The sequence below is a fragment of the Homo sapiens genome, chromosome 15, assembly GCF_000001405.40.
Source record: "Homo sapiens chromosome 15, GRCh38.p14 Primary Assembly".
NCBI lineage: Eukaryota > Metazoa > Chordata > Mammalia > Primates > Hominidae > Homo > Homo sapiens.
In genome coordinates, this window is record NC_000015.10 from 87,427,365 (window position 1) to 87,442,505 (window position 15,141).

The 15,141-nt window shown below is 34.1% G+C and overlaps 1 long non-coding RNA gene across 1 annotated transcript in view; it reads right to left on the reverse strand.

Annotated features, from left to right (window-relative positions):
• Positions 1 to 15,141, reverse strand: part of LOC102724465 (uncharacterized) — a 379,687-nt gene that overhangs the window by 103,196 nt on the left and 261,350 nt on the right. Inside the window, exons 3-6 of the long non-coding RNA NR_187944.1 lie at positions 5,745 to 5,869; positions 4,696 to 4,738; positions 3,395 to 3,430; positions 2,534 to 2,628 (exon numbers count right to left, since the gene is read on the reverse strand). This is a non-coding gene — a long non-coding RNA (uncharacterized LOC102724465). The remainder of the gene's footprint in view (positions 1 to 2,533; positions 2,629 to 3,394; positions 3,431 to 4,695; positions 4,739 to 5,744; positions 5,870 to 15,141) is intronic.

Below are 15,141 nucleotides of genomic sequence, written 5' to 3' on the forward strand. Positions count from 1 at the left end.
AACATTGGGGATTACAACTGGACATGAGATTTGGGTGGGGACACAGAACCAAACCCTATCAACTACTAATGTACAATGCTTTGTTTTTAAAATAATATTGCTGATATCATATTATAATAGGAGAAACCCATGGGGAAAATAATATCCTCAAATTCAATATTTTCATTTATATTATCCAATACATGACCATGTACATATTCAATTTTACCTATTTACATTAAGTAACATTATGGATAGAATTATACTTTTTCTATATTTTCTATTAACATTTAATGCAGGATGTAACTCTCTGGCAATAAATTTGAAAACCTGAACAAAATAGATGATTTCCTAGCAACATATCAATTACCAAAATTGACCCAATAAGAAGGGAAAATTTGAATAGGCTAATTATCATAGAAGGGATAACAAAAAGCACTAGGATTAGGTGGATTTCCAGCTGAGTTTATCCAATCTTTAAATAATAGATAATTCTAATGTTATAAACTAGTCATAGATAATAAGATGGGCATTTATCTAATTCATTTATGTGTACAGTTTAGTACCAAAACATAATAAAGATGCAACAGAAAACTACTGTACAATCTCAGTTCAAATGGAATATTAGAAAATTGATCCTGCACAGTTATTAGAAGAATAATATACTATGACCAAGTAAGGCTTATTCCAGGAAAAGCAGGGTGGTTAATATCAGGAAATTTATTTACATAATACATCATGTTAAGAAAATAAAGAAGAATAAAATGTGCAAATGCTGAAGTGATGTTAGATTAAATTTATTATTCTTTTAAATACATTTTAAGTAAAAAATGAAGGAGTTAAACAAATAAAATAAAATGACCAAAGGTAACAGAAAATATTATCCTAAATGGGCAATATTTAACACTCAAAATAAAATAAAAAGTCAGATGAATATCCTCAATAACCCTTATAATTTAACACTAACTTGGAGGTTCTAAAAATGCAAAGACTCAAGTACATAATACTGCAAAAGAAGAGCTTAAATCATTTTATAATAACATTTTTTGCCCAAAAATTCCAGGACTGAAAAAATTAGAATTTATAATAGGATTTATAAGTTAGGGATAACCACCTTTACATATAAATGAGAAGAAAATATTCATCAAAGTAGAAAAAATAAATTATAAAGAACTTAAAAAAATATATAGAAGTGGTATAGGATGTTGATGATAAAGATATAGAAAATGAAAAGGCATGCCTTTTTGTTTTGTTTTGTTTTTTGAGATGGAGTCTCGCTCTGTTGCCCAGCCTCCATTGCAATGGCGCGATCTCAGCTCACTGCAACCTCTGCCTCCCGGGTTCAAGTGATTCTCCTGCCTCAGCCTCCCAAGTAGCTGGGATTACAGGCACCCACCACCACACCCAGCTAATTTTTGTATTTTTAGAAGAGACGAAGTTTCACCAGGTTGGCCAGGCTGGTCTTGAACTCCTGACGTCAGTTGATCCACCCACGTTGACCTCCCAAAGTGCTGGGATTACAGGTGTGAGCCAAAGTGCTGGGATTACAGCATGAGCCACCACTCCCAGCCAAAGGCATGCCATTTCTTTGGATAGCAGACTTGAGATCACAAAATATAAAATCTTTCTAAATTAACAAATATAAGAATATTTTGGTTAAAGCCCAAGAGAGTGCTTTTTATGATTACATAAAGTGGCATTTAAAGTTTTCATAAAAAGAAATAACTTTTAGATAATAGCCAAACAGTATTTAGTAAATAGAAAGAAAGAATGGCAAGACATTCGTCATGCCAGGATTCAAACTATTCTAAAACTATTGTAATTGAACCAATAGGTCATTAGCCAGAAGAGACAGTGAGATTAAGAGAACTGAATAGAAAATCCACAAATATATACTGATACATATAAACATTTGTTTGGTATTTCAGTTCAGCTGGAAGAGAATACACTTTTTGTTGTTGTTGTTGTTGCCTATGGAGTCTCGCTCTGTCGCCCAGGCCGGAGTGCAGTGGTGTGATCTCTGCTCACTGCAACCTCCACCTCCCAGGGTCAAGCAATTCTCCTGCCTCAGCCTCCTGAGTATCTGAGATTACAGGTGTCCACCACCACACCCAGCTAATTTTTGTATTTTTTTTTAATAGAGATGGGGTTTCACCATGTTAGTCAGGCTGGTCTCAAATTCCTGACACAAGGGATCCGCCTGCTTCGGCCTCCCAAAGTAAGAGAATACACTTTTCAATATATGATGTCGGGGCACTCGCTACTCATATGGAAAATAATTATATTGGACATGATTTTCTACAATATATGAAATTATTTCCCAAGTAGACTAAAGATTTACATGTAAAATAATGAAGCAATAAAACATTTAGAGACTATCCTGAAGACAATATGTATAAGCCAAGGGCAGAAAAATGTTGTAATCCAGGATAGAAAATCCAAAGCTATAAAATAAAACATAGGTACATTTTACTACTGTCTTAGTCCATTTGGGCTGCTATACCAAAATTCCTCAGACTGGATAACTTATAAATAACAGAAATTTATTGCTCACAGTTCTGGAGACTGAGAAGTCCAAGATCAAGTTGCCATCAAATTAAGTGTCTGGTGAGGGCTCTGACGTCATAGACAACATCTTCCTGCTGCATCCTTACATAATAGAAAGGGGTGAGTTGAACTCCCTCAGGCTTCTTTCATAAGGGTACTGATCCTGTTCACAAAGGCTCCACCTTCATGATCTAGGCACCTTCCAAAGTTTCCATCCCTTAATACCTACATACTGGGGATTTAGATTTCAAAATATGTATTTTTGAGGTACACAAACATTCAAACCAGAGCAACTATGTAAAAATTGATTATTTTGAGTGACAATCATATCATAAAGTAAACAGGTAACTATGAGATTTGGGGGGAAAGTCAAGACTCTTCTCTAACTGACACAAATGAGTAAAGCAACTTGTGAATATTCATTAAAATTTTACCAAAGAGCAAAACCCCAAAAGCCAATAAACTTATGAAGATATATGAAAACTCATTGGTAGGCAGGAAAATATAAATGTAAGCTACTAGCTTATTTTACAAGGATAAGACAAAAACAAAATCAAGAAATAAACTGTTATAATTTGGTTTATTTACCCCTCCAAATCTTATGTTGAAATTTGATCCCCAGTATTGGAGATGGGACTTAATGGGAGGTTTTTGGGTCATGGGGGGCAAATCCCTTATAAACAGATTAATGCACTCCCTAGGATGGGGGATGGCGAGTGAGTTCTCGCTCTATTAGCTCCCACCAGAGCTGGATGTTAAAAAGCACCTGGCACCTCTCCTTTCCTGCTTCCTCTCTCACCATATGATCTCTGCACAGCCAGTTTTCCTTTGCCTTCCACCATGAGTGGAAGCAGCTGGAGGTCCTCACCCAAAGCAGACGCTGGTGCCATGCTTCCTGCACAACCTGCAGGACCATAAGCCAAATAAACCTTTTTCAAAACAAATTACCAGGTCTTCCTCAGGTATTCCTTTAAAGCAACAGATATAACCTAAGACATAACCATTTGGGGGCATGATCTAGGAAAAGGATAAAAATGAGAAATCCTGTAAACCAAAATCAATGTTTTTGTATACAGGAATAGTTGATTACTGTACATTCACACCACGCAGCATTAAAAAAATAATAAATTAATGTTAGTCCAGTTGACTAGGATTTTATTATCTGAGGAACTAAAGATTCAAAAAAAGCAAACGTAAAATAATTTTTTAAAAGAACAAAGGCCAAAAAACTCTATATATGTATAAAATCATAACACGATAATCATGGAGAAATATATAAAAATATTTCCAGAATGCTTTTAACAAGCACTGAGAGAGTATGTGAAGCAGGGAATCTTATTGGCTGAGGTGCAGAAAGAAGATATGTGAAAAAGAGAATAAAAGACTGTACTAAAAATGGTACGTATGCTAAGTTCAGGATTTATATTTTTGTAAAAACTATGCCTGTGGGCATATGTATAAAAATTATTTTTAAATGCTAAAATGTAAAAAGAAGATTATTTTCTAAATAAATTTTGCTATCATTTCCATGCAGTATATGTGTCTTATCTCATTTCCTTTCTTCTTTTAGATTTCTCCTCCTAAAAATGTTTAAAATATTGACAGCCTTGTATGTGTCTTTACTCTTCTTTACCAGATTGTTATTTATTACAGTAAAAGTAGAAGAAAATAAAAACTATAATTTTACAGGTTATCATCATTTACATTATGAAATTGCTCGTGTCCTTGGGTCATGTTGATTTAGTGCTATTACTCTTCCTGGCACTAGAAATCTTTCCTACTACAATCTCAGGGGTTCTCAGTTTTCAGAGATGGCACTACAATGTATGTGGATGAGTAATTAAGAATGAGTTACATATCAGTATCAAAACTCACAATTTGCCAATCCTCAGTCTTGGGCTGATTCCTGCCTAACTAAAAAGGAGGATTTTGTGTGTTAAAAGCCAGTGGGCCAGTCCTGGAGTCACACCAAGAGAGATTCTTTACACACCATCCTCTTTGTGAGTGGAAGGGCATCAGGCCCCCAAAATAACTGTTGACCAGTGAGATGACTTGTGACAGGCCAGTGGTAGTTCTAACACCCTGTCTATCTTCTGAAAATGAAGCAAGAAGATAGTAAACACACTGTGCTTCCACTGCACCAGCAACCGGACTAAGCCTTTTACTTACATTGATTCACTGAGTCCTCTTGTCAGGTAAGGATGATTTTAATCTGCATTTACAGATGAAGTAAGGAGAGGTTATTTCATCCTTCCCTGGATCATGGGAATCATACATTGCAGAGCTGAGCTTCAAACTGTCTTAAAACTTAGGTATCCAGGCACTTAAACACTAACCCATGCCACTGCTCAATCCAAAGAAACAATGAAACGAGGCAATTCAAGTTAAAAAGATATTTAATTTCAGATATGTGAACTTATTAATGTCCAGCAGCAACATCACCTGAACAGCTAAACACTGTGATGCAGGTACACATTTACTTACCTGAGCAGATTAAGAAAGATGAGAAATTTGCTTTGTTTGAGGGAATGGAGGCTTTGTACAATTTTTATTTATTTTTGACACTCACGCGTTCAATGCCAATTTTTATTTATTTTTGACACTCATACATTCAATGCCACTTTCATTGTTTTCCCCCAATCCTATATTTGATATGAAATTTATTTTGTCAGTTGCAGTTTTGCCAGCCATGGTGTTTCTTAAGATTTGGCTAGAGATTCCTGCACTGAGATTTCCCCAAAGTTAATGTGTAAGTACTGATAGGGAAGGAGGTAATTCACTTGGCTGATGACAGGCTGTGAGGGGCTCCAGGGGAGAGTGCTGGAAATTGAAGGGAGAACTGAAGGTATACAATCCCCACCTGGTGATCACTACCTTGGGCCCAGCACAGAAATGCAACATAACTTTCTCCTGGGAAGTATCCCTTGTGGTCCTCACACCCAACCCTCAGAAAAGCCTTTAGCACGCACACCAACATGGCACATGCATACATATGTAACAAACCTGCACGTTGTGCACATGTACCCTAAAACTTAAAGTATAATAATAATAATAATAATAATAATAATAATAATAATAAAATGATACTGAGTTTTCACTGAGGATTTCATAAGGGACATAGGATAGATTTTTTTTTTATAATACCTAACAGACAGCATTTTACTTTTAAATAAATCACCCCTCCAATGTGTCTCTTCTTTACCAATTTATTCTCTTACCTGTTGCTGGGTCTCTCACGTGTCTGGGAACCTTCTCCCACTAGCCAGCCTCCAGCCTCTTCCATCCTTCAGAAACTTATTTCCACTGTGCTTCTCATTACTTTCACAGACCCAACATTTCAGCTCTGAGGAAAATAAGTCATTACACAAAGGTTGGCTTTCAGCTCAAAACAAAACAAAGGATTCCCACACTATCCAATTCCATTCTCCTTAAAAAATGGCAGGGCAAAATCTAATTTTTCTCTACTACAAATTTATTTATTTGTTGGCACATATTTTTCTATCTAAGAAGTATTCCTTCATATATGCTCAATTGATTGAAAAATGAATTCTGTGTACAAGTCTTCCACTGTTAGTGAAATTTCTTTTAAAAAGCCCCAAGTTTTCCAAAGTGGAATTGTCTCAAGGATGGGCTTTAATTATGCCAGGGCCCTTGTGAGGTCTAGTCCTGATTACTATGCAAAAAGTGTGTCTTAAATAAGTGAATCACATTTGGCACCACCAAGCTAATCATAGTATAGGCTTTCACTTCCCTTTATCCTGGGAAACGTGACCTGATCTCAAAGAAAAGTTCTAGGTATGTTTTAAGTAATAACTACATTATTGCAATGAGTGTGGAGCCTCAGGTAAAAGTCTTGGCACACACACGCAAATTTAGATATACAGATTCTTTGTGTTTCTTAATAATACAATCAGTCCTTCTAAATTATGGTCAAGTTGCATACATTGCACATTCCCTATGAGCAGTGAAATTAAAGAAGAGGTGAAATACATGGTCATTTGCTGTTAGGAATTTATAACAGAGCAGAATAAAGAGTATAAAAGCATGCATAATTACTCCAAGGAACAGAAAAAAAAAATCATAAAAAAATTCACAACCAATTAGAGGTCTGCATACATGCTAATTGCCGCCTGCTAGGGGTGTCCCATCAAGAATGGCAGGCTTGTCCCTGTGAATAGGAGAAGTGTGAATGAGTGAGCATGTTGGTTCTGAAGTAAAAAAAAATTCTTATGTCACAGGTTCAAATTCTCCAGGCTTATGAATATGACACATTAATATTCATTAAGTGGAACACATTATCATTTTAGAAGGAGATTACTGGGGACTCACTATTTTCATTCCATCACATTTTCCAATTAGGAGTCCCACTTTTGCAAATAATCAGCTTTCTGTTGCCAAGGGCTTTTCAGTTGCTTTCTGGCAAGGGGGTTTGGAGCTAAGTTCAACATTCATTTAAGAAACAGGAAAAACCTGAAGTACAATTATCTTTTTTAATGACAGGTTAATCTTGCTGTAGTGAACCTGATCAGAGAAGAGCCAAACTCTAAAGGGAGGAAGCACAGAGTCCTTCTGGGGGAGGGGAACTCAGACAATAAAGTTTGAGAAAGAGTTCACAGTTTTCTTGGTTGCCTGCAATCATTGAGAAATAAATGCACTCTGCAAAAGATCTTGAAACTGAGCAAGGAGAAGTGCCCACATAAGGGGAAACTCCAGTGATGTGGAAGTGAGCACAAGGGCAAGGTAATATCCATCCCTGAAGGCTACCAACAGGGCAGAGAAGGAAATAATCAAAACATATCGGCATTTCCTCTAGGTTAACAATTTAGTTCTAAAGTCAGACACCTTTGCTAAGGTTTATAATATCATTAATGACTTAACCAGAAAAAACAGTAGACAAAGACTGGTTTGATTTTGAAAACTATCAGATAAGTTTGATAAATTCAAGTTCAATCACCATTAATCTCTAATCAAAGCAGAATTTCTAAATGAAGTCACTTAATGTTTATTTAAATTATATATTCATGATTTATTAAGAGATTGCTAAGATTCTTATTTGAATGAAAATAAAAAAACTCACTTGTTCTGCCCTTTTATATTTATGAAGAATTGCATATACCTGGCAAAACAAAACATATGCTAAAAAAAAAGATATAAGGAAAGATGAGTTTCTCTTCATAATAGCCCACCAGTTCTTTATTCTCCTTCCCAGAAGTAGCTACTTCACTAGTTTCTTGGCTCTTTTTTCAGAAATCGTCTATGCTGAGATGTTCTTGTTTCTGCCTCCATACTTAGAAGCATGCTCTATGCACGCCACTTTTGCAATTTTACTAAAAATCTATTCTGGATACAACTTTATATGAACACCTGTAATTTAACTCACTGCAGAGGAAACAAACTTCACAAAAATAATACAGTCAGTCACTAAACAAATAACTAAATAACAATAACAAGCCCCAAAGGGGATTGGGAGCAAGGACCTGAAGTTTCTATATTATCCAAAATGTCCATTTTTTTTGTTTGTTTTTTGCAGATCATATTGGGGCAGAAAATAAAAATAAAGTAAATAAAATGTCCAGTTTCTAACAAAAAATTATAAGCAGGCAAAGAAGCATGAAATTCTGACCCAATGACAGGAAAATATAAGCAGGTAACAAAAGCAGAGTAAGTAGATGTCAGACATAGCAGACAAAGGCTTCAAAGTAGCCATTATAAATATGTTCAAAGAACTAAAGGAAACCATGATTAAAGATGTTAAAGAAGGTATGATGACAGTGTATCATAAATAATATTAATAAAAAGAAATTATTAAAAAAGGAAATGGAAATTCTGGAATTAAAAATACAATAACTAAAAAGATAAATTCACTACAGATGCTCAAAAGCATATTTGAATTGCCAGAAGGAAAAAATTAGTGAACTTGAAGATAAATCTATAGATATTAAACACCCTGAAGAACAGAGAGAAAAAAGAATGAAGAAAAATAAACAGAGCCTCAGAGAAATGCTGAAAAATCTTATGTGCAGCAACATACACCTACTGGGAGGACATCTTTCATAAATGAAGTAAAAATAAGACATTCCCAGACCAACAAAAACTGAGAGAATTTGTTGCTTAACAGACCAACCTTACAAGAAAAACTACAAAAGTTCTTTAAGATGAAATGACAGAAATAAATTGGGAAACTCACAAATATGTGGAAATTAAACAACACACTCCTAACATAACCACTGATTAAAAGAATAAACCACAAAAGAAATGAGAAATAGTTTTAGTTGAATGAAACACAACATACCAAAAATTATGAGATGCAGCAAAAGTAGTGTTCAGAAGGAAATTTATAGCTATAAACACCTATATTAAAGAAGATCACAAATCAATAACCCCATCTTCTACCTAAGATACTAGAAAAAGAAAAATGAACTATATCTCAAAGCCAAAATAAGAAAGAAAACAGTAAAAATAAGAGTGGATATAAATAAAATGGAGAATTAAAGAAGAGTGGATAAGATTAATGAAACTAAGTTTCTTCTCTGAAAAGTTTAACTAAATTGGTAAATCTTTAAGGAGATTTACAGAGAGAGAAAGAGAAGGACTCAGATTACTAAAAGCAGAAATAATAGAGGGAGCATTACTACCAACCTTATAGAAATAAAAAATATTTAAGACAATACTATGAACAACTACACATCAACAAATTAGATAACCTAGATGAAATAGACCAAATCCTAGAAAGACAGAAACTATTCAAATTAGTTCAAGAATAATTAGAAAATATGAATAGACCTATAAAAAGTAAAAAGATTGAATGTGTAATCAAAAACTACGCTGAGGCTGGGTGTGGTGGCTCACACTTGTAATCCCAGCACTTTGGAAAGCTGAGATAGGAGGATCGCTTGAAGCCAGGAGTTTGAGATCTGCCTGGGCAACATACTAAAACCCTGTATTACAGAACTAAAAATAAAAATTAGGCATGAATGGTGGTGTGGGCACCTGTAGTCTCAGCTACACAGGAGGCTAAGGCAGGAGAATTCCTTTAGCCCAGGAATTTGAGACTACAGTGAGCTATGATCCTGTCCCTTCACTTTAGTCTGGGTAACAGAGCAAGACCCTGTTTAAAAAAAAAAAAAAAGAAAGAAAGAAAGAAAAGAAAGGAAAGAAAGAAAAGGAAAGAATGAAAGGAAATAAAGAAAGGAAATAAAGGAAAGAAAGACAACTCACAAAGAGAGGCCCTGGTTCAGGTAGTTGCTCTGGTGAATTCTACCTAAATTTTTTAGAAGAATTAATATCAATTCTTCAAACTCTTTTTTTAAAAATATTAGAAGAGGAGAAACAGTTTCCAACTATTTCTGAGGTCAGTATTACAGTGATACTAAAATCAGGCAAAGACATTACAAGAAAGCTACAGACTGATATATATTATTAATATAGACATAAAAATTCTCAACAAAATACTACGAAATCAAATCCAGCAACATTAAAAAAAGATTATAGAGCATGCACAAGTGCAATGTGTTCCAAGAATGCAAGATTGGTTTAAAACCCAGAAATTAATTAATATAATACACAATAGCAATATAATAAAATATTTTTTAAAACATATGATTATCTCTATAGATGCAGAAAAGAAATTTGACCAAATCCAACAGCCTTTCATAATAAAACACTCAATGAAGTAGAAGGGAGCTTCCTCAGCCTGAGAAAGTATATCTATGAAAATCCATAAATAATATCATGCATAATGGTAAAAGAATGAATGTTTTCACTCTAAGATTAGGAAGAAGAAAAAGATATGTACTCTCACCCTTCTATCTAACATTTTAGTAAAAATTCTAGCCAGGCAATGAAACAAGAAGATGAAATACTAGACAGCTAAATTTGAAAGGAAAAAGTAACATTATCTCTACTTGCACATAACATTCATTATTTATCTATATATATACATTTTTTCATAAACAATTATGTGAAAACCCAATGAATCAACTAAAATCTATCAGAACTAATAAAAGAGTTTGGCAAGATGGTAGAATATAAAATCAGTGAATCAAAATCAATTGTTAATACACAATAAACAATCCTAAAATTAAAATTAATAATTCTATTTGTAATAGCATAAAAAAACTAAACAGTAATAAATTTATTAAAGTATAAAAATTACACTCTGACAAAATCAAACATTAATCAGAAAAAGTAAAAAGATCTAAATAAATGGAAAGACATTCATGTTCATAAATTACAAGACAATGATTGAAATAGTAATATTTCCAAATTAATTTGCATATTGTACACAACTTCTATCTCAATTCCAGTTCATTTCTATGTAGAAATTTACAAGATGACCCCCAAATTCATATAGAAACTCAAGACCTCAGATTAATCAAAGCAATCTTAACAAAGAAAAAAAATGGAGGATTCACACTTTCTAATTTCAAAATATACTACAAAGTGACAGTAATCAACACAGTATGGTTCTAGCATAAGGAAAAACATATGGATCAATGGAATAGAATTGAAAATTCAGAAGTAAACCCATATTATCCAAGGTCAATTGATTTTCAACAATGGTGCCAAGGCTATTCAATGAAAAATGAATAGTGTGTTTAATAAACAGCTCTGAGCCAACTGGATTGCATATGGAAAATAATAATTTTCATCCTTACCCCACTTTGTATACAAAAATGGACTCAAAATGGATCAAAGACCTAAATAGAAAAGCTAAAGTTATAAAATGTTAGAAGAAAGCACAGAAGTAAGTTCTCATGACCTTTAATTTGGCAATGGATTCTTAGACATGACACCAAAGCACAAGCAAAAAGAGAAAAAAAAAATAGATAAATTCAATTCCTTCAAACTTAAAGAAAAAACTTTTTGCTTCAAAGGACACTACTAAGAAAGTGAATAACAACCCACAGAACAGGAAAACAGTATTTTCAAATCAAATCATATATCTGATAAGAAACTAGCATTAGAATATGTAAAGAACTCCTACAAATTAATTATTAAAATGACAAACAACTCAAATAAATTGGGCAAAAGGTCTCCACAGACATTTCTCTAAAGAAAATATACAAATGACCAATAAATACATGAAAATGTGCTCAACATCATCAGTCATCAAGGAAATACAAATCAAAATCACGATGAGATTCCACTTCATACCCACTAGGATGGTTCTAATAAAAGAGATGGATAATAACTAGTGTTGGTTAGTATGTGGAGAAGTTAGATCCCGCATTAATTGCTGGTGGAAATGTAAAATTGTGTAGACATTCTGGAAGAGACTGACAGTGCCTCAAAAAGTTAAACATAAAGCTTCCACTTGACTCAGCAATTCCACCCCCAGGTATACACCCAAGAGAAATTAAGACATACATCCATACAAAACCTTGTAAATAAATGTTTCTGTCAGCATTATTTATAATAACCAAAAGATGGAAACAACCCACAGGTCCCTAAATCCATGAATGGATAAACATAATATGGTATATCCATGAAATTAAATATTCTTTAGCCATAAAAAGGAAGAAAGTCCTGATAAATACTACAACATTCATGAACCTTTAAAAATGTATACTAAGTGAAAGAAGCCAATTACGCCAATAAATTAACACAAAGAAGCCAATGTGTGAAAAAAGACGACACATTGTTTGATTCTATTTATACAAAATGTCTTGAATAGGCAAATCTATAGAAACAAAGTATATTAATGGTTGCCTAGGACTGGGGCAGTTGGGGGAGGAGGAAGAAGAGGATGGAAACTCACTACAAATGGGTGTGGGGTTTCTTTTTGGGGTGACAAAAATGTCCTAAAATTGACTAATGTGATGGTTTCAGAATTTTGGGAATATACTAAAAAAATTGAATTATATATTTAAATCTGTGAATTGTATGGTATATAAATTATATCCCAGTATATATTTTATTAAAATATATAGGCAACTTTTCACCAAAACTTTTCTTCTTTGATCTATATTTGGATTTCTAGGGAAGACATAAAATTATCAATTTCTTAAAAGAGAAAAATGTTATTATTTTCACCTAGACATGGAACCAGTTGTAGTTCTTGCCAAAAGATTTAAAATAAAATTTAAGAGATCTTTCTGTTGGTTTTTAAGTTCAATATTGTGAACAAAGCTCACATTTGTGGATAAAGTATTCCCCCGACCCCAATTGTTATCTCTCAATGAGACCTACACATAAATACTAAGCAGACTGAGGATACAATTTTAAATTAGATAGCTGACTATTTATTTTAGGCAGAGCCTAAATGAATACAACACAAAGAAAGAATTACAACTATTTACACAGAATCTATCAAAGTTTCATTGGATAATTAAGAGTTTGCCTACACCACTGGAGGGAATGCTGATTAATAGAATCATGGAAAATTAGAGTATGGAGAAACTCTAGGGATCATCTAGTCCAAATGATTAATTGTAGAAAATGAGGATACTGAAACCCAGAAAGGGGAAATGTTCTGCTCAAGGTCATGTGAGCAAAGCAAGGCCACATTTTCAGACTTATTTTTTTCTGAGCTAGTTACATAGCTACAGACAAGAGGAGTTCAAAATTATGTTGATTGGCAGGGAACATCACACACCAGGTCCTGTCATGGGGTGAGGGGAGGAGGGAGGGATAGCATTAGGAGAAATACCTAATGTAAATGAGGAGTTAATGGGTGCAGCACACCAACATGGCACATGTAGACATATGTAACAAACTTGCATGTTGTGCACGTGTACCCTAGAACTTGAAGTATAACCAAAAAACAAACAAACAAACAACAACAACAAAAAAGCAGGCTTTTGTGAAGGGACTGTAGACTATTTCAAGATGCAGAAAATCTAACTTCAAATAAAAATCATTTGTACCTTTAAAGTATTGATCCAGTATTAACAGTGGCTAAGCATTTAAGATGTGATTATGCTCTACATAGAATATTTCCGTTAATGTCCATGCAGAGGAAATAGAAAGGAAAAGAAACCTTGTATGAGTGACTTTGGCACAAGAGACAGTTGAAAAGGAACCTGGAATGTTTAGAAAAACTATGAATTCAGAAAGGAGGAAGAGGAGAAACTCAAGGAAGCTGACCAGAACTTGATTCTAAATGATTCTAATTATTAAAAAGGTCACCCTTATATTGATTAAAAGAGTTGCTTTCCTGAAATTGTAGACCATTAATCCTAGTCTTTTCTCTGGATCAGATGAGAATAAGTTTGCTTCTTCTTCAACAGAACAGTATTTCATATCTAAATAAAATGTTCATATATTCCTTTAATGATCTTTTCTCCGAATCAATCATCCTCAGGTCTGTCAGTAAATTCTTATGTAACAATGCTCTCAGAACATCCAAGCCTCAGCCATGTTTCTGTGATGTTCTCATCCGATATCATGATTTATAGGTGTTCAGAGTAAATTTTAGCCAAAATATTCCACCCTCTAATCTAGTTAAATTTTACCTTCAGGTTTTTCACCATCTCTGTAATATTAAGTAATTGTAATACCTGTATAATTACTTAATATTTTAAATTCATTTCACTTTTTCTACTAAGTAGTGATATACATAAATTCAGTTATGATTTTGATGGGCTTATGATGGTTTTTCTCTAGTAAATAAAGTAAAATATGTAGGAAGACTAAATGTACTGTTGGTGTACAATCTAAAGTCAATTTATATATCACCAGCTTATTTCATTCTGTGCTTTTGGAAGCTCTAGTCAACTGAAAGTTCCTCTGAGATTATTCTCCATCCTCCCATCTTTATATAAGCTTATTAAAATGAATTAGAACAAATTGCTCATATTTATTAACTGGATTATTGGCAGTGACAATAACCCATTAAGTCTGAATTATCTTGGGAATAAAACAGTATGTATCTGGAGGTTGTGTGCTGGAGCCCACATGTCAGAAATGACAAAAAAAAAAAAAAAAAAAATGGGGAAAAAGAGAATCTAGAGACAGTGAGTTCATGAGGGCAGGACCTTATCTCTGTGATGTTATTCACAGTACCCTAAACGCTGACCATTGCTCTTGGCATAGAATCCATGCCCACTTTACATTTAGTTTAACCATTAACTCTCACTCCATTAAGGTAAATATCATTGTTTTTTTAGGATTTACTTATTTGTTCAAAGATACATTACTAACAAGTGCCAAACTTGACTCAACATCAGCTCTGTCTGACTCCAAAGCTCTGAGTCTTTCCCCAGCTACAAAGAGTGTCCAAGTCCAACCTTTGTCTATGTGGATTAAGAACACTCCTAATCCTTTTTCCTATTGGCAACAGAGAGACACCAGTAGATTCAAAGTTGTAGCCTGGAGAGGCTTTGAGTCCAGGCATCAATATGCTCATCCACCATTTCTGTTGCATGAGAAAGACTATGATTCTACCTAAAATTGTGATTACTTGCAGTTAAGCCAAACTCAAGTTTTGACTAGAAATAGACTGGTTCACGCTGGGCGCGGTGGCTCACGCCTGTAATCCCAGCACTTTGGGAGGCCGAGGAGGGCGGATCACGAGGTCAGGAGATCAAGACCATCCTGGCTAACACAGTGAAAACCTGTCTCTACTAAAAATGCAAAAAAAAATTAGCCGGGTGTGGTGGTGGGCGCCTATAA